This window comes from Homo sapiens, chromosome 20 (genome assembly GCF_000001405.40).
Source record: "Homo sapiens chromosome 20, GRCh38.p14 Primary Assembly".
Taxonomy (NCBI): Eukaryota; Metazoa; Chordata; class Mammalia; order Primates; family Hominidae; genus Homo; species Homo sapiens.
The window spans coordinates 60,473,030-60,497,771 of record NC_000020.11 but is presented as its reverse complement, the minus strand read 5'-3'; the positions used below and the strand labels follow the sequence as shown (position 1 = coordinate 60,497,771).

The following is a 24,742-nucleotide window of genomic DNA, read 5'->3' as shown; positions in this document are numbered from 1 at the left end:
TGCACAGGAGAGAAGAGACTATTCTTTACTTTTTTCTTCTTCTTTATATTGAATTTCCCCCCATGAGGCGCTAGAAATGTAGCTGTCTTTTTGTCTTGATGTCTTCAGATATTGAGAGGTATCTTAGGTACAAATCGTAATTGGATAGATTAGCGTTTTAGAACTACTACATATTTCTCTTGGGAGAACTACTACATACATATTTCTACATATTTCTCTTGGGAATGAAACTTTAAAGTTTAAATGATGTTCTGAGTATCTGCCACACCCTTAACCACCTCCTGAGTAACATCTCAGTCATCTTTCTATGCATGGTAAATATCATAAACCAGTGATTTTTTTTCCTATTCTTTCCCTCCCTTTGTCTCTCCTTTCTTCCTTCTCTTCTTTCCTCCATCCCTCCCTCTGTCCTTCCTTTCTTCCTTCTTCCCTCCCCTCCCCTCTCCTCTCCTCTCCTTTCCTTCCTGTTTCTTTTTAAATATCCTAGCCAGAACTCACTGGACTAGGGACTGACTGCTGAAACATAGATGATCCCTATAATCTGGTCAGCAAGCCCCGAGCGGCCAGGTGCAAGAGCTCTGCCCAGTGGATGCCTCTCATGCTAGATAAAGGCTAAAAGGCCAATTTGACCCTCTCTAAAGACAAAAACTTGCTTAAGTATGCCCAAAATGCTGAACAAATTGCCTCATGTTTCCTACATAACTGAGCTCATAAATTCAGAAAAGTGGCAACTGAAGCCACCCACAAAATTTAAAAGAGCAGCAATGAAAATGCAAACAAACGTGACAAAGCATGCTACACTTGTTTCACCAAATCTGTGTTACATGACACAGAGCCTGGAATGAAGTCACCGGAGTGTTTTATTCCATTAAAATGCACCAATGTTGCTTGACTTCTTTATGGAATTTGGTTATCTTGGGAAGTGGGATGTGGTCTCAATGGTGACCTTATAATCTAAACAAGCCCGGGTCACTGCAAGCTACTCCCTAAATGGACTATTCAGACAGGACACGGGAGTACCTGCCTTCACTTGTCGTAGAGTTGCTTTTGTCTGTCTGACATAACTTTAGATTCTAAAGGGTATCAAGTGGAATGTCAACATTCTTTGCAGCAAATTGTGATGGAAAGCCTAGTACTTTTAATCATGTTGTCAAAAGCAAAATAAGCCGATGTATCAAGTTGTTTCTTCACGATGTGGTTTAATTACCTGAGAATCATCCCCACCAGAAAAAATGAGCGCTTGAAGAAGCACTTTTCTTAATCACACCAAACCTGGTTAATAGTGTTTGCCTTGAGATAAAATGAATGATTACAAAGCTCATTAGAAGCCAACTAATAGGAAGGGATTCCCAGATGATGTGGAAGAGAAAGATAAATCTGTTACCAGTGTGTATAAGGTAAACATAATGGAGCCCACTGGCATCCTGAAAAGCCAAGGACCAGGGTTTCAGGGTGAGCTGCCTGAAAGCCAAGGACCAGGGTTTTGGGGTAAGCTGCCTCAAAGCCCTGGGAAATTCTTTAGAGTTTCCTAAGAATAGTCAGAGATAACCCTTCTGTGGATCGTTCTTTCCCTTTTCTCCTGGCCCAGGCACTGACCAAAGAGAATAATGAATTATTACTTCAATTAAATTCTTTTTTTAGCTCAAATATTTGTACACAGGATTTCTGCGCATGAAATATAATTAAGATTCAGCTAAGATAATTTTGGTAAATTCACAAAAGGGCCTATAGGCAGCCAAGAAAAATATGTTTTAAAAATATTTAAGGTTGAAAAAATTATACAAAGTTAAATTAAAAAGCAGATTATCAGACTATCCCTCAAGATGGTTAAAAAAATGCATTTTTATCCCACTATTTTCTTGAAACCTACAGAGAACAAAAATAAAATAAGAAACAATAGCAAGGGGGAAAAGAAGCTACATCATCAATGAAAAAGGAAATGGACAAAACACCAACAAGACACCCGCTGAGTAGTTTGAAAACTGGACAGGAACAGGCAGACAGTGGATGGTAACATACCTCCCCCAAGCCCCTAGATTTCCTGAGAGCAGCGAGGACAGATTGGAGAGCCTCCTCACCCAGGCCAGCCAGGAAAGATTCAAGATGCCTGGTGACATTTAAATTCCAGATAAACAATAAGTATTTTTCGTATAAGAATGTACCAACTATTGCATGAGATATACTTACACAAAAAGTATTCATTGATCATTTGATATTTACATTTAACTGGTCTCTGTACTTTATTAAATTGTGTTTATAGCAAAGGAAGAAATTGGACTGATTAACAATGGGCTTTGTTTTATAGTGTTTTTAGTTATTTAGTTGACTGTCAACCGACATAAATAAGGAGATTTCACTTAAAAATTTAGGCTGGGCACCGTGGCTCTCGCCTGTAATCCCAGAACTTTGGGAGGCTGGGGTGGGCGGATCACTTGAGGTCAGGAATTCAAGACCAGCCTGGCCAATGTAGTGAAACCCCATCTCTACTAAAAATGCTAAAATGAGCTGGGCATGGTGGGCTGTGCCTGTAACCCCACCTACTCAGGAGGCTGACGCAGGAGAATCACTGAATCACTTGAACCTGGGAGGCCGAGGTTGCAGTGAGCTGAGATCACGCCACTGCACTCTAGCTTGGGTGACAGAGTGAGACTCTATCTCAAAAAAACAACAAAAACAAAATCTTTAAATCCTTTAGATCTCTGGCTCCTTTTGAAAAATTTGAGGATATGCCCACACTGGACCACAACTCCTGCATGACACCAGCAGCCTGGGGAGTTTTGACCATCATTTTGAATGTAATTTTCATGCTCATGTTTATTTGCTTGTTTGCTTTCAGTATACATGCCCCATTTAATTCATTTGCATTACTACTTAGCTCTTGGAAGTGTTGTTTGTTCTGTTTGTGTCTGGACATCTCTCCTTTGAATCTGCAGGTGTGAGTCAGTAGCAGGAAGCTAGGAATGCCCCTCTAGCAACTTGGTGCCACAGTAGAAGATGGTAGAAGATCACCGAGGCCCCCTTTTTGGCCTCTGTGGTGCTGGGGCTTGAGCCTCCAGGCTAAAGAAATTGGCTCCTAGTGTGGAAAAGGAAGTCAGTGCTATGACAGCAGCCAGCTGTGACTTAAGAGCCTTACTAAGAGGTGCATTGCTGTCTTGAATGACAAAAACTCAGGGATGTCTCAAGGCAAAGAAGTGAAAACAAAGTGTAAGAACAGCCAAGACCTCCAAGACCAACATGGCCTCCGGAGACAGTTGCGGGTTATACAGCAGCCCCTATTTTATTTTTGCTGATTTGCCTGTTTTAAATAGCAAAATATTTTTTTCACTAAAATAGCATGGCTGGGCGCGGTGACTCACGCCTGTAATCCCAGCACTTTGGGAGGCCGAGGCAGGCGGATCATCTGAGGTCAGCAGTTCAAGACCGGCCTGGCCAACACAGTGAAACCCCCTCTCCACTAAAAATACAAAATTAGCCGGGCATGGTGGCACATTCCTGTAATCCTAGATTACTGGGAGGCTGAGGCAGGAGAATCGTTTGAACCCGGGAGGCGGAGGTTGCAGTGAGCCGAGATCATGCCATTGCACTCCAGCCTGGGCGACAGAGCAAGACTCCGTCTCAAAAAAAAAAAAAAAAAAAAAAGCATGCACAGAATCATCGTTTTTCTGTAGAAGGTAATTGATCTCTTTCTCCCTTATCTGCACATATGCTAGAGAGAGATGCTGAAAGTGGGCATGATTAACTACTGTGGGTGAGAGTTCAGATGATGATTTTTAGTATCTTCCTTTGAATTTTTCTATATGACTTGAATTTTATAGGATGAGTTATCATTTTTATAAAAATATTAAAGCCATTATTCTTGAGTATAGAGAATCATCTATAAATATCCCCAAACATATACGAATATAGAAAAATAAAAGACTGGTTACCCCAAAATGTTAATAATGGTCATCTCTGGGTGATAAGACTATAGATTGTTTTTATTTTTGCATTTTTTGTGTTTTCCATACAGCCCACAATTAGTATGCATTAATTTCACTTTTAAAACACAATAAATAGTATATCTTAAAAGAAAGTGAAAAATTTCCACACCAAAATCCCTGAATAGGGGACAAAGTGTGAGCTCTTTTGGTCTAAGCTAGACGGGTTGTAAATGTGGTAAGAAGGGAAAATGTCTTTCATTCTTTTTAATGATTATTCTGAAGACTAATATGCCCAAGTCTCTCTCCTAAGAAACCATTTCCCCTTCTAATGGCTCTGTGTAGATCAATAAATCTGTCCTTTTCTCAAAATTATTTCAGCTTTGTTCCCACCTACCCTAATTTTATTTGGAGAGACCAGAAAGCCACTGAAACCATCCTCCTTCTTGAAGTTAATGTATTCATTAGTTATAATTGCCTCCAAAATGTCCTCACCAATCTTAGTCTCCTAGTTCCTTAATGGTTTTGATTGGATGTAGAACACTTTTATCTGGGTTAATTTACTATTCATAGTACAATGATGGAGTATTCATTTTGTTACCCAGATTATAGCTGTAAATGGAGTTATATATCATCCACGGGAAAGCTACATGGGAGTTTAGTGTTTAAATGCCTTTCAGGCATCTTAAAGTCAAAAACAGCATTCCTGACAAAACTTTGTCATTTTCAGCATTTTCTACCCAAACTTGAAGTTGTCCATTGCCCTTATGTGAACGAATGTGCTTGTCAAAGCCTGGGCTGTCCTCTCCCGTGACCCCTTTAAAGCAATCCTCCCAGATTTGAGGTTTATTGGGACCACAGGGGAGAAACAATCTACCATAAGGATGCAAAGATGAGAGTCCTGGAATCCGAGATATGTGGAAGTCATGGGGATGCCTGGACTTGCTGAGACGTAAGATGCTCTTAGAATTTCCCAGGACTCTGGCTCAGAACCTGACTTCTTGCCTATCAAGCTGTCTAGAGTCTAACCAGATCCCCATTTAAAATCTAGTTCTTGCAGTCCTGACTGCTGCTACATAGATCATATCTAAGGATTTAATTCTGCTGGACCTAAGACCTGTTCTGGCTGTTACAATCACACCTAAATTTCACCTCCCCACAAACCCCAGAGAATTTAGCCCTCCTGCCTCTGCTCTAAAATCAGAATCCTCTACTTAGAATTCTTTCTGCGACAGTGGAGACAGGCAAGTTTCCATTCTAACCAATTGAAAACTACTTTCCACAATTTCCTCTGGAACTCTTAGTTCTACCATCTGAAACAAGGGCCCACAATTTCTACCCCCATTCCGCCCACTGACCATGTGAATGCCTGAAAACAGGAATACTCCTCTCCTTAGCCTGGAATGTGTTTCCCATAGAGGTCTAGCCATCTGAGAGTCATGGTCCAGGAGATAATTACTATCAGAAGTAAATTGAGGCCCGGCATCCAGGAGGGATCTGGAGGGCTTCTATGGCCTATTCTCCAATGGATCCATCAGCTACTCATTCCTGGGGTTCCCCCGCAAACAGCTAGTGGGAGGGTTGATATTGAGAGGCACACACAGAGTAAACGAGATGGCAGCTGAAAGCCTCAAACATCCACTAGAATGATCCAGGATCTCGAGTGTCTGCAAGAACTCACTGAGCTCTGAGAACCAGAGAAGCTCCCTGGTGCAATTGGGGCAAAATTCCTTGCAGGACAAGATGACAATGGAATTGCAAATAGCCTCCTTTCTCTGGTGGTGTATCCATCATGAAATAAGCTGCAAAGAAACGTCAGCCTTTCTTATCAGTGCATAGGAGCCTGTAGTCTTTGGGTATGTGAAGAATGAACGGGTACATAAGGATACATATACACAAAAATATATTATGGCATCATTGCCTGGCCAAAAAAAAAAAAAAAAAAAAAAAACTGGACATGAAGCAAATGTCCATCAAAGGGCCAAAAGTCGCTAAACTATATTCACAGAAAAATTAGTATGCAACAATATTTTGAACATTTTATCTATACTTGATTGACTTGGAGGGATTCCTAAATGAAATATGCTGTTTCACACTCAAACAAAGATGGAGGAAAGTATTAATTAATACATAGAAATAATGTGTGAGTGTGATATGTTGAAAGATTTGCATGAAAAAAATACAGTCACCAAAAAGTTTGGCAGGGGTTATATTAGGGTATTGGGGACTCAGGAGGTTTTTGCTTTGTTTTTATATGTTGTGCAATTTTTAAACTAATGAGCATCAACTAGTTACACAATCAGAGGGAAAAATATTGAGTGTTGTGGGAATGAATAAAGTATGTTTGGCAACAATAGGATAGACATTAGGTCTTGCACCCTGCAGGCTGGGAACAGCAGGGTCCCTAACCAGCTTCCTGTGTGGAGAGAATCTTCCAGCATAGGGCTGTCCAGATTCTGAGTATTCAAGAATCAGAGACATAGGACCAGAGGTCCATCCTGGGAATGCTTAGTGAGTGCAGAATGATCGTTTTTCTTCCTAATTGCTTCTCTGAGCCATCAGCCTCTCCAACAGTAATCTGGGTATTTGGGAAACCTAACATCTTGCAAAAACTAAAGGACAGTTTTCCTTTTGTAAATGAGAGAGCCAGATTCCCACTGGAATAGCAATCCAAAACACACAGAAACATCTGTTTGAATAATGAGATGTTTGTCGGGCATGTTCAGAAGGCAAGAGTCAGCTGCTGATCAGATACGGATGTCGAAGACCCCGGCTCTGGTGGTGCAGACAGTGTGGGGTGTTGATTAGTGTCTAGGGAGGCTGCACTCATCTCCCCAAGGCCCTGCAAGGTCCTGTGACCTCTTGGTGCCAAAATTAGTTCACCCAGGGTGAGAAAGAGCGCTCCTTCTCAGTTTTCAGAGAAACAACCACATCAGACCAGCATTGTCAATAGGCCCCACATCAGCCCTCCCACCTTTGGGGAGCAATTATTGCTCTGAAGATGCATCTCACCGGATGGTAACTGTGACTAATGTTCTGCTCTGTGCATTTTCCAATTTTAATTGAAGGAAAGTACCTAATTATCTTGGAGAAGCAGTCATTATACACTGGCTTCAGGCTGGCCTTTTGCAAGAGATGACTCCAGGGCTTCTTGGGGCAGTCAATATGTTAACCAGTCATTACAGACTGTGATTTCCAAGGGGAGCAGACAGCTCCAGACCCACGATCAGCACCAGCCCTGGCTGCAGCTGGAGGGGAAGAAGGGTGCCTGTCATATTTCCCAAGAAGTCAATTGAACACAATATTGATAACTAATGAATTGCGACTTCTCTGTGACCCTAGATACCAACAGGAAGGGTGATGTGTGTCCATGCACCGTGAGCAGAGAGGTCTGTGCATTCATTTTCTCTGTGGCTTTGACTGGTTTACAGCAGATAGGGGAGGGGGAAGCATATGGCTATTGTTAGAGTCTACATAAATGCCCGGGGCTCTAAGATGGGGGTTTTGATATCATATGTGCACAAAATAACGTGCGCATGCATACATTTATGATGCATACATACATTTATGATGCATGCAAATGAAAGGTCAGGGCCTCCCACTGGGGCCAAAAAACACATTTGATGTTTCACATTTGATGTTGGGCAGCCTGGGGAACATGCCCACATTTTAAAATGCAAAGCCACTGCAACAAACAAATGGAAAAACTCAAAATATCGGTCTTACCTAAAATGATTACAATACCAGAATTCCATGAGCATAACAAAGGCCAAAATCAACAACAATAACAAAATAAATCTGAAACCAAGGGGATGGGCACCATCATGGCTCCTGCATCCCCTTGAATGAGGAATGCATCAAAGTGAATGAAAAGTGTAGTAGTCAGAAGCGTCACCAAGAGGGTGAAGAGCACATGTGGGAGGTGGCCCTCGGCTTTGCTGACTTGGTGATGTGCAGCCATCTTTTCAAAGGGCACACTGATCTTGAGATGGGGCTGTGATGAGAGACTAGGAGCTGATTGTCAGCAACTGCAGAGATGCTTCCGGGCTCAGCTGGTTAAAATTTCTTCTCTCCACCCCAGGCTTCCAGAATATTTCCAAACCTGTTTCCATCCAGACAGTCCTCTGCTCCCCTCCTTCCAACTCTGTCTCTGAACTCCAGGGCCCTCGCTGATCTGGCCTGACCCTGGTATCTCCACCTTCTGCTCCTTTACCCATTGCTGCGGACTCTCTAACCCAGCCCTTTAGGTGTGTTCACCCTCCCATCGTATGATCCCCGCCCCTGCCCCGTGCTCCCTCCAGGAACGCTGCTGACTGCAGGACCCTCCCCAGGAAGCCCCCTCTGATGGACCCTGCAGGCATTGCTCTCCCTGAGTACAGCTTAGAGCTTTGCTGTCTCCCTGTCCATCCTGTTGCCTTGGCACCCAGCTGGGCCTCAGGGCAGCTGCCCTGGTTCTGTCCATTTGCTACTCTGGTAGCAGTGGCCTGAGTTCATCAAGCTCTTACTAAGTTCCATCTGCTACCACATTCAGTGCTCACAACAGCACCTGCAAATGCCCATTTCACGGATGAGATAGCTGAGACTCAGGGGGGATAAGGGAGAGTCAGAGGCAGGCAGCTGTCTCAGAAGCATCCCTTGCAACCACCAAACAGTGCCACCATAGCACCTTTCCATGTCACATCTGTGTCCACTCACTTCTCAGAACCAAAGGGCCAACTCCTGGAGAGGAGAGGATGCAACATCTCCTTTGTTGAATCCAACATGTCCCTCTGCAAGCACCATGAGGGTCGGGTCCCCTATGCTACTCTTGGCCACTGTGATGCTTAAGTGTCAACTTGATTGAAGGATACAGAGTATTGTTCCCGGGTGTATCTGTGAGGGTGTTGCCAAAGGAGATTAACATTTGAGTCAGTGGACAGGGAGAGGCAGACCTACCCTCAATGTGGGTGGGCACCACCCAATCAGCTGCCAGGGTGGCTAGAATAAAGCAGGCAGAAGGAGGTGGAAGAAACTGACTTGCTGAGTCATCCAGCCTTCATCTTTCTCCCGAGCTGGATGCTTCCTGCGCCCAAACATCAGACTCCAAGTTCTTCTGCATTTGGACTCTTGGGCTTACACCAGTGGTTTCCCAGGGGCTTTCAGGCTTTCAGCCACAGACTGAAGGCTGCACTGTTGGCTCCCTACTTTTGAGGTTTTGGGACTTGGAACGAGCCACAATTGGCTTCTTTGCTCCTCAACCTACAGACAGCCTATCGTGGAACTTAACTTTGTGATGTTGTGAGTTCTCCTTAATAAACTCCCTTTCCTATATACGTCTATCCTATTAGATCTGTCCCTCTAGAGAACCCTGACTAATAAAGCCACCAACTGACCTCATGTGCCAGGTAGAGTCTTTTGTTTTCTCTTCATGTGACATGAAGTTAGGTGACTGGACACAAACTACCTGAATCTGCAGGAGCTAACCCCCACAGGCCACTTCCTTCCCTTCCAGCCTCACTGCCTTTAAGACTTAGGTTGCTGAAGTTGCCAGTTCCAGGAGCGCTTCCCTCTCTCCTCTGACCTCAGGCTCCTCCACGTATTCCGGGATGATGGTTAATACTGAGTGTCAACTTGATGGGATTGAAGGATACAAAAGTACTGCTCCTGGGTGTGTCTGTGGGGGTGTTGCCAAAGGAGATTAACATTGGAGTCAGTGGACTGGGAAAGGCAGACCCACTGTCAATGTGGTGGGCACCATCTAATCAGCTGCCAGCACAGCTAGGATAAAGCAGGTAGAAGAACGTGGAAGGACTAGACTGGCTGAGTCTTCTGGCCTCCATCTTTCTCCCATGCTGGATGCTTCCTACCCTTGAACATCGGACTCCAAGTTCTTCAGCTTTTGAACTCTTGGACTTACACCAGTAGTTTGCTAGGGACTCTCAGGCCTTTGGCCTCAGACTGAAGGCTGCACTGTTGACTTTCTTAGTTTTGAGGTTTTGGGACTTGAAATGGCTTCCTTCCCCTGAACTTGCAGACGGCCTGTTGTGAGATTTCACCTTGTGATCATATGAATCAAGTCTCCCTAATAAACTCCCCTTGATATATACATTTATTCTGTTAGTTTTGTCCCTCTAAAGCACCCTAATACACCTACCCTCACTGCACCTGCTGCCCTGGGTTGAAACCACCGGCCCTTAGTGTATTATAAGCCCTGCAGACCCTATGTCTATGTCTTGGTGTGGGGCAGCTCTCGGGTTCTGTGTCTTCACCCTCACCCTAGTGTCTAGCACAGCATTTGACACTTAGAGGTGCCAGCAGTGGGTTTTCACTCTCTTTTGATGCAGAACAGCCATGCAGAAGAGAACAGGTGTCATCCTCGTCCAGTGGGATGAGCTTTCCCAAGAACAGTACGCTCACGGAGCAGCCGCCAGTCAGAACCTGGACCGTTCAGCCCCCAAAGTCCCTCCAGCCCTCACTCCCTTGAGTGGTCGGGAGGCTTTGGGGCTTCGCTCCGAGAGTGCAGCTTCCAGAGCCAGACAGATGGTGGGAATCTAGACTCTTCCCAGAGCCAGACAGACATCAGCGGGGATCTAGACTCTTCCCCTTCTCCGCCACGTGTTTCCCTTCTCAGATTCTTGGGCAAAACCATGCACTGGCCTCCTCTGAGCCTGTGCTTACCCTCCATCCAGCAGCACTGGTTGAGAGCCTCCCAGGCCCTGCCCTGTGTGGTCACCGCATAGCTAATGAAGAACCGGCCAACCCTGCCTTGGCCATCTGGATGCAGACCGCCCAGGGCAATCAGGCAGACATGCGACATCTTCATAAGCCTCATAATTAGCGCTTCAAGAGAAATAAGCAAGGTGTGGTGACAGAGAATTGCAAGGGAAGGCTGCTTCAGAGAGCTTGGGCCATGGAATTAAAGCCAAGACCTGAGACAGGTCAGTGAGGCCAGGTGGGGTCCGGCAAGGGTCAGGGAAGAGCCCGTTAGCTGGGGATGTCACACCTTGAGGCCCTCCAGGATAGAGACCAGGGCGGCTCAACACCAGAAACTGGCAATAGGTCAGTGTGATGGGACCAGAACTGAGTGAGTGAGAGTGATGGGAGGAGGTGGGAGAGACCCGGCCTCCTCTGCAGGTTCCCCGGCCTATGGAGCCACAGTGACAGACAACAGGCCCTGTACTGACATATTAGCTGTCTCTCCTTTCAAGCCATAAGCCCTAAACACTTCCCTTCCCCAGCACTAGTTCTCAGCCAAGGCCAGGCTTCCCTGATGAGCATGTGCTGGCCTCAGTGACGCACTGACAACCCTGCTTATCAAGGGGAAGATCGAATCCGTAATCGGCCCAGACTGGGGTCATTATGAGTGGTCATTATCTCAACCCAAGCCAGCCCTCACATGCAGATAGCTTGAAAGAGCTCCCGCTACATCCGGCAGTCCACTGATTTAACAAGTCAGAGGCACGTCCGGGAGAGAGCTTCTTATGGTAACCAGTGCATCCAGGAGCCAAAAGCGGGAGTCCAACCGTTTCAATAAAAATAGACACCAAGGCCAGGAGGCTTAAATATGGTGCAATGTTTGCTCGGGTGATGGGTGCACCAACATCTCACAAATCACCGCTAAAGAACTGACTCATGTAACCAAACGCCACCTGTACCCCAGTAACTTATGGAGAAAAACTAGACACAAAGGGCACTGGGCAAGCTTCCAGCCATGATTGACTTTCACCTGGAAGGTGAGAGACCTGGCACGAGATGGGCCCCACTGCCTCCTCTGGACTCTCAGCCACAGCCCCACCCCCAGCTGCCTCTGCTGGATCTCCCATGACCGGCAGGAGTTCCTACTCCCCCTGGGAAAATCAGTCTGCCTCTCTGTTTATTCTGACAACTCCCATTTTTACAGAAAAGACAATCATATGACCAAAAAACCTCAAATTATGAGAACATATCTCTATTTCTCCACATCAAAAGAACTCCTGAAACAAAGAACATTAGGCTTGTCACATTGGCATCATCCACATTCTCTCTGCCAGGGCTGCTTTTATTTAGTCATGCAACAAATAAACAACAAGTACAAAAGAGGACAACAAGTACAAAAGTCCTGCCCTCATAACACCTGTATTCTGGTGATGGAAGACAGATAATAAATGAATGCACAAGTAAACAAATACATGAATAAATCATTAGCACATCCTTAGATGAGCACACGTGTCGCAGGGAGAATACGTCGTGGATGATGAGTAGACAAGACGGGTGCCACAATTTTACATGCATTGCTCAGAGTCTCCTGGAGAGGAAGACCCCCTTGGGGGAAGGCAGGAAGGAGGCGGGCAGTAAGCCGTGCAGACTTTTCTGAAGAGCACTCCCGAAGAGGGCAGAGGGAGCTGCAGATGTTCTGGGTCAGAGCTGGCCTGACACATTCAGGAGACAGCAGGAAGGGCAGGCGATGTGGCTCTTCCTGTGGCTGAGGGGAGGAGGTAAGGTCGGAGCCTTGTCAGCCACTGAGCAGACACTTCCAGTCAAACGGACGGGAGGCCGTTGAGCTTTGATTAAGTGGAATCAAGGCTACAGGTTCACTGTGCTCCTGCAGGAGAAGAAGCCCAGAAGCAGGGGGCCCAGTTGGGTGGGCCACGTAGTCCTTCAGATAACAGCATGGTGGCTCGGCCCCTGGCGACGGTGGTGGAGGTGCTGGAAGTGCCCCTGGTTGGAAGACAGAGCTGGCGAGACTTCCTAACAGAGAAGCCAAGCTTGGAAGAAAAGACGCTTGAAAGTTTTGATCTGAGCACCCGGAAGAAAGGCAATGCTGGAAGTGCTGGCTGGGGCAAGGCTAGAAGTGCCCTTTAGGGAGAAGCCTGTTATCCTCTCCAACGCAGTTGCCAAAGAGGTGGCCAGAAATGCCCCTTGGGAGACCAGGGAGGAGGTCCCTGTAATGAAATAGGAATCCCTGACGCAGATGAGGTCATCTAGCAGGGGTACCTGGGGGAGGAAAGAGGCCCAAGGACCACACCTCTGCAAGCTCCTGGGAGATGGGAGAAAAGCAATGGCAGAATGTTCCAGAAACCCAGTGAGAAAACACTTCAGGGAGAAGGTGGGAGCTGACCCCCATCCAGTGCTGCAAGGACATGAGAAGATGAGGATGCATTGATTCCTGGATCTGGGAATGTGGAAATCCCAGGAGCTACTCGTGCCTGGGACCGAGGGCTGAGGGGGACACAGGCCTGATTTAAGAGAATTCCAAAGAAAAGGGGAGGAAACAAGAGCAACCCCTGGAGGTGTGTCTCTGGACAGAGCAGAGAGATGATGCAGGGCTTGGAGGGGGAGCCCTGGCCAGGGGCGAAAACAGCAGTGCTGAGCAGCCTCCAGCCCTCAGCTCTCCTGATGGCTTCGCCTTTCTCAGGGGACGCCTTTCTGCAGAGCCTCGTTGGAAAGCAGCTTAAAGCTGTATTTGCACAGCGTGTTGCCTAACATGGAAAAGTGCAATCTGCCCATCCTTAGATGAGCAGAGGAGGGTGGCCATGAAAGGAAGGAGGGTGGATGAGGCACCCCTGGGAGAAGCCCCATCCCCATAACTGGCATTCATTCCTGGCTCCCCAGTTCCCAACTCCCTCCAAGGCTCTGCCTTACCCAAGCGTATTTTCTCATTGAGTTCTTACATCATTTATTCCTGAAATCCCTCTTGCTAGAATCTAATCCATAGACCACCATATCTTGCAAATCCTTCCCCTGTCCTCCTTTCTTCGCCCCTCCCTCAGGTGGAATGTTCCTTCCCAGCCCCCAGTTCCCCACCTTTGCTAACTGTATGGATGAACGCTGTGCCACCTTCACCACCTGCAGTAGAAAGGGAGACAGGAGAGTGGGGAGGGGGAGGGGAGGGGGAGAGGGAGCGAGGAGCCCGTACTGGGTGAAGCAACATTGACAGAAGAGCCACCTTGGCCCTCCCTGCTTGCCCCTGCCCACCCCCACACCTGCTTCCTCTCCTGCTCCCAGCTCCCAAGGGATGTGGCTCTGCTCTCTGAAACTGGGTCCCCTGAGAGTTTTCTGAATGCTTCCCCTCCCCTTTTTGGTTAAACTACTTGGAGTGGGTTCTCTCTTATGTCCAAAGAAATCCTATGATGGTGAATGGAAATGGAAGGTGGTGAGTTTTGGGCAAAAGGGGAATCCTGTACCTAGAGCTCCCCTTCCCCATCATTTGACCAGCACCCAGCAGACCCCACTTGGGGTTTTAATTCAGTCCTCCAAGCTATGGTGGCCTTGCTCCATTAGCTCAGCACAGGAAACCTCCCTTTGGGACAGGTACTAAGACGCAGAGGCTATTTCTCCTCATACAGCCACCACCATGGGGTGAGCCAGGGGTGAGGCTGTCAATGCTTTAGGACCTTGGGGAGACTCCCACTACAGGATGATGTCAGGCCAGGAAAGGCTGGGACTCAGCAGCTCTGCAATCCTATGTAAGTCCCTCAACCTCTCTGATCAGCAGTTTTCTCTCCTGTTAAATTGGGAATACAGCCTCCTCCATGTTGGTGACTGTGAGGGTTTCATTAGAGAAGTTTTACCATGCCCCTAGCATGAAGGAGGCTCACAATTATGGGTACTTATTCCAGTCTTTTTTTTTCTAATCTACTATTTTATTGAACTCAGTCTGGGAAAACATGTGGCAGGCACTTTGCCCCATCCTATCCCACTTACCCCTCACTCCGGTGCTGGCAGGCAGCTCATAATCCCCATTGTACAGGAGGGAAAACTGAGGCAACTTATTGGTCCTTTTGCATAACTCAGTGTCTGCCTTGGTCAGGATGCAAACGACTGCCTTTCCTATCAATACCATCCCCCCTAGATTGGCACTGGTGAGGGTGGCCCTTGTACATAGTGTTCAGAGATTGCACTCAAAATCCTTGACCTGAGATAACATCATCTGCCCAAATTCAAATACGTGCGGAACATGCTTGCCCTGAACATAAAGTAGTTTCTACAGGCGTGTACTCAAATCATGTGTTTCCCTTACAAAATCAAGAACAGGCTTTTATTTTCATCAGTAACTCACGCTTGTGACCTTAAGCCACTGCGTAATACTTGATTAGCTGAGGAGGAAATGAGCAATAGTAACATTTGACCTTTAAAGAACATCCGATACCACATGAAAAATATTCAGTGGAGGAAAAGAAAACCATTTTGGCTCCCACTTCATTACTTTGTGTCTTTTGCCATCTCCTTCAGTTTGGGTTCGAAACATTTTTTTTTCTTGTTTGGAAATCTTCCTAGAATCATCCAAATTGGACAAGATTGGGCTGCTCTGTGGCCTGGGGTCACTCTTTGGACGGGGCCATTTGGACCTCCCATGGGATCGAGGGCAGGAGAGTCTGGTGTGAGTTGGGTGCACTGCAGAGGCAGCTGCCCCATGTCCACACCGACTGCTGCAGAACGCATCTGAGCACATCATGAGGCAGCTCTGAGCTCATCTGTAAGAGGTGGACGGTGGTGCTCCTGCCAAGCACCGTCATTTAGTGAATGAAATGAAACAAGGCCGTGTCAGGCCCATGGGAAACTCCAAGCCCATGCGGGCTCCTCTTGACTCAGTCCCCAAAGACGCAGAGCTGGGCCAGAAGCTGTAGCCAGTGCCCTGTCTCTCAAACTGTCATGTGAGCATGAAGCACCTGGGGACCTTATTAACATATACATTTCCAGTCATCCGATCCGGGGCTCAACCAGAGACTGATTTCTAACAGGCTCCCAGGTGATACAGGGGCTGTCTTTCTGGCCACGCTTTGGGCACCAGGGATGTGCGCAGCCCAAATCCACTCTTTTTCCAGGCTGCAGAAGTGTGAGCTACCTCATGCCTGGTCCAGCAGTGAGGAATGCTCGACCTGATCCTGGGCCCCCCTCCCCATCCTAGAACTCCTCCAGTAGCCAGACCTTCAGACAGAGGCAGCCGCAAGTCTCTGAGCAGCCACTGCAGGCAGGGGATCCTTGCTGGGTTCGCTGCTGCCCCTGCCATTGTGGTGGAGGTGCGGGGACAGCTCCCTTGTGGCTGTTTTCGTTTTGTTTTACCTGCTGTGCATCTTATTCACAATTCATCAATCTCTCATACATCCAACACCAGAATTGCTCTTCAGAAGGTTCTTGTAGGCAAAGCAGTTGACCAGATCTTGTTGTTCACCAGGACACCAGAGCTTTGTGTCCTCAAACCATTCTCCTGCCCCAAGTCTCATCCCTGCCTGTAGATCATTTTCATCTGGATTCCAGAGAAACAGCGACAGTGATTGCAGGCATGGCTTTGCACAGCCACTCTGGCTTGACTCCCAGGCTCTGGGTGTGCCGTGAGGGACGGGGCGGTGATGGACTTGTAAACTCTCAGGAACGCCTCCCAGCTGCAGACGCTGTCCCCGCAGTATTCACTGGTCCAGTTCATGTCCTTTTCTGTCCTCTATGGGTCTCCGGGACTCCCAGCCCCTAGGGCTTCCTCCCACCCCACCATCACGGCAGGGAATGCAGAGGGACCCTGGGCTCTGTGCGTGCCCGTGCAATGACACTTGGGAGGCGGAAGATGTACACGGGGCCTCACACATGGGATCCTTCCTCTGCAGGGAGGATCTGGTCCCAGAGCACCCAGTGGTATCTCCCCATGGCCCCTGCGGCCTCCTTGTCTCATTTCCACACGCCTCTCCCACTTCTGCCTGGAATTGCCTCCTAAAGAAACAACTTGGGTCCGTCCCAGTCGTTTCAAGATCTGCGTCTGGAGGAATCCGATACTTACCCCGCAGGGCTCAAGTCAGACTGGGAGCTGGAGAAAGTGTGCATCCCTGCATCCCGGGTCTCCCTCACGGGGCGTGGTTTTTAGACCATGGTCCTTAGAGAAACGCTGGGATGCTGGTCTATATTGTCCTCCAAATTTACTGGGGACTGCCCTATGGGCCAGCACAGTCATCACGCCCCATGCCAGCTGAAGCTCCTGACGTGCAGGCGAGAGCCGACTGTGCGCAGGAATTCCCTAATTTCCGCACAGACGACAGGCTGCCCAAACCAATAAATCCATTCGCCTCTCCAAGGCATTGTCACGTACTGCAGGCCAGTCGTGGGTTTCAGAGGAAATGTATTAAGTCCACATTCACAGGGCATGAAAGGAATATTGAGATGTTACAGCAATCAATTTTTCATAAATAATATACATGTGTAGCCACATTACATATTCAAAGCAGCAGTCAAGTGGTCAGGGAAAATGATCATTTATTCTGTTGAATTTCTTCAGAATGAATTCTGGGATAGATCAAACAAAAAAGTTATAAAATAGGAATTATAGATAATGAATGCCTGCTTGTTGCAAAGGAATTTGACTTACTTCACGCATAATTAAAGCAGGTGAGGTCAGGGTTGAGCTTGGGGTGATTTTAGCAGGAATCTCTGTATCCTGTTCATGGAGCAAGAGTAACACTTTGCTTATTTTGTAAGGATTTGTGATTGAAATGACTGACATTAAAAGCCTTTCATTAATATGTCATGGTGAGTAAACATCAGTGTAAGCCAGCAGAATAGTGACCAGTGGCTTCACGTTTTGATCTCCTGAGGTAGAAGTTATTTGTCCCCTCCACTACCTTCTTGAGAATCCTCTGTTGCCTTGGTTGTCTTAGGCTATGACATCAATTTGTGAGTACAGGGCTGTCCCATGTTCTAAGGTTGTTATTTTCCCAAGGAGACTATAGAGCTTGGCCAACTTTAGAACAGCATGTATCTATCCATTTAGGAGGCAGAGCCAGGTGGGGAGGCAGGATGGGTAGGGCGGTTCCGTGAGCATGCAGGGTCCTAACCTACTGGGTAAATTCAATCCTGCAGGTGCTTTCACTTCACCAATGTGAGCAGATTGTAGGTCTAGAGCTGGGGGAGAGAAATAAGGGTGATTTGAAAGGACCCAAAATGTCATTTAGATAGGGGGGTGGGCGCAGAGAAGCTCAGGGAGTTATCCCACAACATAGTCATTATGGTGAATAACAATGTATTGGATACTTGAAAATTGCTAAGAGAGTAGGTAAGTGTTCTCACTAGACACCCACACACAAAGATATATATGTAAAGTAATGCCCATGTCAATCACCTTGGTTTGCTCATCCCACAATGTTATGCATAGATGGAAATACTTTGTCCACTATCAATACATACAACTGTATTTGTCTAAATAAATACAGTAATGGTAAAGAGTCCAGGCTTTTCTGACGTTCAGAGAGATCTGGGTTTGAATCTTGAGCTTACAATATTCAAGTTGTGTAATCTTGAACATAACCTCTCTGACCTTTCGTTTTTTCCCCTGGGATATGGAGACACTGATTCCTGCTGTATAGCATTGATGAGAGGAAGAAGTAAGATGATGAAGGAAAGTGCTTATCACTTTGCTGATGGGAGTAGGGGGAAACTTACTAAAAGACAGCTACTCTTGCAATTCTAATAATCATCAAACCAGATTTCTTCCAAAGTATCAGATGCTTCCTGGGTGTGCTGTGCCCTGCTGACCTTAGAAAATATGAATATCATTTCAGATTGCTGGTGACATTGAAGACACCACGGTGCACAGCACAGGAGCGCCACACAATCTTCCAGAGTCATGCGTGGGTCTGGCTGAGGCAGCCATACAGAAGGCAAACCTCCGCTCCAGCACTTCTGCCCAACTCGGCCATGCTGGGGCAGGCAGTGCTGAGACCTCAGAGCAGCTGCCATGACAGCACCTGAGGAGCACAGGAGGAGTACCTGGGTGCGAGTCCAGAGGCTGCCCCTTAGGCCAGGACCCTCTCGGGCACGTTTCCTCATTCGTGCAGCAGGGAGAGCTCAGGGGCCCACATCACAGGGCTGTCTTAACTAGGGTGCTGGGATGCATGTGGAGGGCTTTGCACTGTGTTGGTAAAAGTACAAGATCATTCAAATAAGCACTGCCATTGTTGTAAAAATCCTTAAAGTTGCTCTGAAGCCTTTCAGAAATGCTGGCAAAGCAGCAAGCCCCTAAGCCTCTGAAATTCCTTTTCTCCATTAACCAGCTTGGAGGGGCTGCAACATGGATGATGGAAGAGGGAGTGTCATGCAGTCACAGGGCCCTTTCTCCTGGGCAGGACGGGGAGAATGCCGGGGATGCCTGGCTGGCCGTCACAGCCTGGGATGCTGCCTCTGGAAAAGATGCAAGTCATGGGCTTCAGATGCTGAGAACAGCTGACTGTGGCCTCCTTTGAATCGCTTTGGTCCCAACTCCAACGTGAGTGATAAGATGCTCTAAAGCTCTTGGCATCCAGGGACTCTCTCATCGACAAACAACGGAACCCCCAGCTCAAAGTGCCTGAAACACCAGGGCAGTTATCTGCCTAGTCCTCCTGGAAGTCCAGCAGGTGGGCACGCTTCACATCTGACATCATCTGCCCGTACCGGCTCCACCTCCCACAGGGCTGCATGTGCAGCCTCCACCAGCAAGACACTCAGCCACAGCATCTCTGTGCCTAAACAAGCAGCACAGTCAAAAGCAGAGAGTGAACGTGACCTTGTGCCAAAACTCAGGCACCTTCTTGTCTGATGAATTCTCACTGCTAACCTTTCCTTATCGCTGTTTGACCTGCAGAGATCTTTTTTGCATTTTCTAAACCAAGGCCACCATTGGAACTAGCATGGTCAGCTTCCCCGGCAGCACAGAGACCTCAGGCCTGGGGACCAAACACACGACGGAGCTGTGTCAGGAGAGAGAGAAAGGGAAGTGGACGCTGGAAGGCAGCCAGCAGCGTCCGGCAACCTCCTTCCACATTCTCATGACGAGTTTCGTGTTCGGATTGCAGGTAGTTCAAAGCAAGGGGCTGCTTTCTTCAACTAAGTCATTTTAAATTAAGTCCATAAAGTGAATATAAATGTTTTATTTCATTGTGACAGGCTGTCAGTAAACTTAAGGAGTAAATTTGATGGCGGATTTTTTGTTGTTGTTGTTCTTATATATTTTTTGGCATCTCCTCACAGAAGCATAAACAATTCTCTTTGTACTGGCCCCATACAGCCTTTTTCCAAGGGAAATCTAACATCTAGAGGCACACAGGATTTTCAGCCCTAGCAAAACAACTCCAGCATCCTCACCGTACATCAAAGAGAGACAGCCTGGTTCTCATGGCCAGGAAGGTTAGTCACAATATTACGAAAAGTAACGATTAAGTGCTACACAGTAGATGGAGGCCCTGGAAATTCATCACCCAACAAACAAAACACTTTTAATTGTCAGACTTTTCTCTATGCTTCCTAAATAGGAGTTAGTCCTAGAGAGCTGTGGTCTGGGGAGAGGAGTAGGCAGAGATGGGCAGGGTTTAAGAATCACAGTGGCTTATGCCTGTAAGCCCAGTAGTTTGGGAGGCCAAGGTGGGAGGATTGCTTGAGCTCAGGAGTTGAAGGCCAGCCTGGGCAACATAGGGAGACCCCTGTCTCTATAAAAAAAAGAAAAAAATTTAGCCAGGCCTGGTAGCACATGCCTGTAGTCCCAGCTAGTCCAGAGGGTGAGGTGGGAGGATTGCTTGAGCCCTGGAGGTTGAGGCTATCTATAGTGAGCTGTTATGGAGTCACTGCTCTCTAGCCTGGGAGACAGAGTGAGATCCCATTTCAAAAGAAAAAGAAGGTGTTTTACAGAGGTTCCTCACTTTCTTTTAGAGAAACACTGACATTTCAGAAGTTGTTCAGAAAACATTTCAGGGAGGAGACACAGGAAATGCCCAGGTATACTGTAAGAGAGGCTTCCCACTGAAACTTACATGGCACTACGTGACCAGGCTCTGTGGCCTGATTCCATGTCCAGCAAGGCTGGGTGCTGACTCATCCCTGCCATGGATGTATACCTTGAAGAGATGCCATCAGAAATCTGGCCACCTTTTTTAAAGGAGATACCACTTGGCTTGGATTATAACCCACAGAACAGGCTTCAGGGCTAGTGCCCTCAAAGCCAGTCTCTCAGAGCCCCAAGGTGCTCCTCCATCCCCAGTGCCCCTCCCATCTGCTCCCACTTAGCACCTCAGTTGCCTCTGCCAACTGTCCATGCCTTCTTCAAATGTTCTCCGTCCTTGGCATCTACACCCTGGTACCCGTCTCAGTGCCTCTGTGAACACAGACACAGCTGAACAGCATCATGTTCATGCTCTAGGCTCCCCTTGATGCCAGACTCTCGGATTCCATCTCTGCCTCTCTAATCAGAGAGGCTCTCTCCTGCCTCTGCTTAGCCTTCTCCTCATCCTCAGGTGACACCAGCCCCCTTACCTTCCATTGTTTGCATGTCTGCTCTCCCATTGATCACAACGGCCTTGAAGGTGCAAGCTCAATCTGTTTCTCACAGGCCCAGTGTGCTGGAGTAGAGTTAACCCATATGTGTTTGTGGATTCTCCATTTGCTTTTTTTGCCATATTTTATCATTTAACACCTTGTTTTCAAAACATGTTTTCAGCCAACATCTTTTCTTCTATTAGTACCGCTTTGCCCTCCCCCACCTCCCCATGTGAACTTGGATTTGCTTTTATGTTCTAATGAGGTGCAAATGAATCCATTTTATAGATTCAATTCCAGCTAATTTGACTTCTGGGTCAGTTTCAGCCATTCGGGGTGTTGACATGCCCTCCCGCAAAAACAATGTTGGTTTGTACAAATCATAAAATGGACTTTCACTAGAAGGGGCCTGGGATAAAAAGAGTTATTCAAAGTTTCCACAAATCACACAGCCTCTGGTGAGGTCTCGCTTTGTTCATCACCTCCCACTCTATTACCGTGGAGAACTGAAAGTCCATAAACGGGGTGAGGCGTGGAGAACAGGCAATTTTGTTACTTTCCTGGAACAGCATCTTTTTTGGTGTATCATGGACTGCTTTGTGATACTTAAGCAGTTGTTCACGTTTCAGTTTGTGGGTAGATGAATTTATTGCATATTGCACAGATGAGAAAGAAAGTATTGTTAGGGGCATTTTCTCCCTAAAAGCTATGAGATCAATTGGCCCCTAGAATCCTGCAGGGGCTCCTAGGGTGCCTCCCTCACGACTCTCGGACAAGGAGAGCTTAGGGCTCCCCCGGGCTCAGGCGCTCAGGGGTTTTGGTGTGGACCCAACCCATGGTCAATAATCTGATTCTATGATACGCTAATTAAATGGAAGCACCAATTCCTACCTGGGCCAGAAATAACAAGGCTCAGCATTTTGCATCTTCGTGGTCATGAAAAAAGGGCAACGTCCCACAGTGATCGCAGTTTCCTGTTTCTTCACCCCTTCACTCTCCCGCTCCACTGATGCATGTTTACCTTCCTCTCCCATGATCATCTCCCATGGTCTCTGGGGTGGGGCAATGTGAAACGGAGGGCTCTGGGGGGAATCAATTGCCAGCCCCTGTTTTCCAGCCTCTGTGAAACTCCTCAGCACCACCAGCACATAAACAAATGAACCTCCTTTACTATTCTCAGATGGACACGTGTTACCTGCAAGGCAGAGACCCTACCATGCGAGCATACCAGCATTGTAGCTTGCCACAGGGGCCAGGAGATGTGTTGAAATGGACCTTCCTGATTTCGGGACTGCCATCTGAGATCATGCTTTACGTCCATAGCCATTGTCATTTTCAGAGAAACAGATATTATCCTGGCAAAAGGTTCTCAGTCACAGTTGGATGTAAATTTCCCCCAAACGTCCATATCCTTTGAATGACGGCACCACTAATGTTGACTTTAAAAAAAAAAAAAGGTTCCAAATGGAACGCTCCCAGATTAAAATATAGTATCTATATTTATTCACATGATAGTTTATCTCAAATAAAATCTCCAAGCTACATTTTAGGAAGCAGATTCAGTGGCAGGCCACAAAATTTATCTCTGGAGAGAAAGACATGAAAATACATATAAAAGTCGTTGCCATCAGCACAAAAGAGGGAGGGAATTTATAGAACTGCAGACTTCATCAGATTTGAAATCTGGGCTCCTCCAGGCATCCTGAATGGCTCTTTTACCAGGAGGCTGTGTTTGATGGAAAGAAAAATGGACCCGAGTTAACGCTCCTTGAATATCCACTGTGCTCACGTGTGCCAAGAGCTTGGCCCCACACGTCATCAACTGTGAAGTAATGCAGGAACAGTTAGGAAATTAAAGCATAAAAACCTGGAAGGAAAACCACAACACCACCTTTAGCCATGGCAGAAAGCGGCAGCAGTCACTGAATATTTGCTGTGTGTCGGGCTGTGTGCAAAACACGATCCCCATTTTTCAGAGAAGGAAGCTGAGGCACAGAGAGGTTGAGAAACTTGACTAAGGTCACACAGCTCATGGCAAACTCAGGGTGCAAATGCAGGGACTGGCTGCAGGGCCACAGCTCTTATCATTCTGCCCAGATGCCCAGCCTATCTGCCACTGGTGGATAATACTCCCCCTCCTCTCACACTTGACAGGAGTTTGCATCTGCAAGACCTAGGTCTGGTGTCATCTCTCCTTCTGAAGTCCTTAATCTGTCCGCAAATCATCTTTTAAATGTTCTGTAACTCCTAAGACAGCGGGGAGCACGGCACTCTTCTGTAAAGAATTTGATGAAGAAATAAGGACTCTTTTCCCCCAAAAAGTGCACATACCAGCTGGCCTTGCAATCCTGTCTGCAGAACTACACAAACCCCCTAAAGCTAGTCTCTGAGCCACCAGCTAATAACTACCTTAAAGGCCCCCTTTTGAGATCTTGCTCATAAAGACACTAAGCATTGGTTGGTTTGATTTAGCTTCCTTTGTGCTAATTAATCTCAAATTACTCAGATCTACCATAGAGAAATTCTATTGATTGCTACTAGATTTGTTTTGTTTTCACCTTGATTCGTATTCTAAACTGAATCAAGTTCTGTAGAAAAAACACCCATCAAATGCATCTCCTCAAGGAGTAGAATACCACTATTATAGCCTCAAGATTCCACCTGCAATCTTTACCCCCCAGGAGCTTACTCAACTCAAGAAGGGAGCATTAACTAATTGGATAATTACCATGTTAATGAAGGAGGCTAGAATTCATGCAGCCAATAAGAGGCTTCATCTTGGCCGAAATTTACCCTGGACCCAAGCTGGAGGCAGGATCCCTGGCACCTGCAGATCTCCTAAAATCTGAAGGAATGAGGTGCTTAATTCATCTCTTGATCTGTTGCTTAAATCGCCATCTGGAGAAATCACCCTCCTGGCTGTATTACATCCAAATTAAATATATTTGCTTATAAGCCCAGAAGATGAGAGCAATCTCAGTGCCATCCGCATTACAAAGGGAATAAGATATGTTGCAGGGTCTCTGCAGTTGTAGGAATGGCCATGTGAGTGCTAAATCACCTCTAATACACTACTAATAATTTAAGGAACACATTTCTGTTTGGCTTTTGTTCTAGCAGCTGATTTTTTCCTCTCTTTTTAATCTATTTTTTTTTTTTTCATCGTGGTGTGATCACTGCCTCTGTGCTGATTTTGTAGTGAGATGCTGCAGACTTGTGGCCTGTACCTGAATGGATGGGGAGGGAGAGTGAAGGAGGCTGCTGGCTTTCCTTAGGTGTTCTTGCTCACAGCCTGGACAGCAGAGATGGAGCTGAGCACCTCCAGGGCAGGCCTCCATCAGCTGGGGAAAAGCTTCTGAGTAACATAGCCCAAATTCAGCTCTACCTTTCCTAATCTCAAAGCAGGAATGAACGGCAGCTGGATTTCAGCTTTTCATCTCTCTGGTGTAAGTCCACAGAGCTACTTCAAAAAGCTGTGAGTGGAAGGGAGGCCTGTGAGTCCAGGGAAGCTTTAAAATATTTTAGACTTTGAATTGTGTGTTTTCACTTCTACATTGTGACTCAATAACTGTGCCCCCCGCCCCCCGCCCCCCACCGCCCGC

At 46.9% G+C, this 24,742-nt stretch overlaps 1 long non-coding RNA gene and 1 other non-coding gene across 4 annotated transcripts, besides 3 other annotated features; both read right to left on the bottom strand.

Moving 5' to 3' along the window:
* Positions 1,586 to 1,755: an enhancer, noted in NCBI's record as "experimental_60818 CRE fragment used in MPRA reporter constructs". NCBI's record gives its function as "activates a minimal promoter by MPRAs in K562 erythroleukemia cells, with activity observed for both the introgressed and non-introgressed 20:59071160 variant alleles {active_cell/tissue: K562}" and the evidence as "EXISTENCE:reporter gene assay evidence [ECO:0000049][PMID:34662402]".
* LOC124904944 (uncharacterized) lies at positions 11,914 to 24,642 on the bottom strand. 3 transcript variants are annotated; one of them, XR_007067682.1, is made up of 2 exons: positions 23,869 to 24,642; positions 11,914 to 23,415 (listed from the first exon to the last, which is right to left on the bottom strand). It is a non-coding gene; the product is annotated as an uncharacterized LOC124904944 (long non-coding RNA). The 3 variants fall into 3 exon arrangements; XR_007067681.1 differs by having other exon boundaries at positions 11,914 to 22,866; XR_007067683.1 differs by having other exon boundaries at positions 11,914 to 22,866; positions 24,368 to 24,642.
* Positions 11,991 to 12,491: an enhancer, noted in NCBI's record as "H3K4me1 hESC enhancer chr20:59060339-59060839 (GRCh37/hg19 assembly coordinates)". NCBI's record gives its function as "activates a minimal SCP1, AML or CMV promoter by ChIP-STARR-seq in primed H9 embryonic stem cells {active_cell/tissue: H9 hESC(primed)}" and the evidence as "EXISTENCE:reporter gene assay evidence [ECO:0000049][PMID:30033119]".
* Positions 12,492 to 12,992: an enhancer, noted in NCBI's record as "H3K4me1 hESC enhancer chr20:59059838-59060338 (GRCh37/hg19 assembly coordinates)". NCBI's record gives its function as "activates a minimal SCP1, AML or CMV promoter by ChIP-STARR-seq in primed H9 embryonic stem cells {active_cell/tissue: H9 hESC(primed)}" and the evidence as "EXISTENCE:reporter gene assay evidence [ECO:0000049][PMID:30033119]".
* MIR4533 (microRNA 4533) lies at positions 19,591 to 19,661 on the bottom strand. Its single transcript, NR_039758.1, has one exon. It is a non-coding gene; the product is annotated as a microRNA 4533 (primary transcript).
* Positions 24,643 to 24,742: the final 100 nt, after the last annotated feature.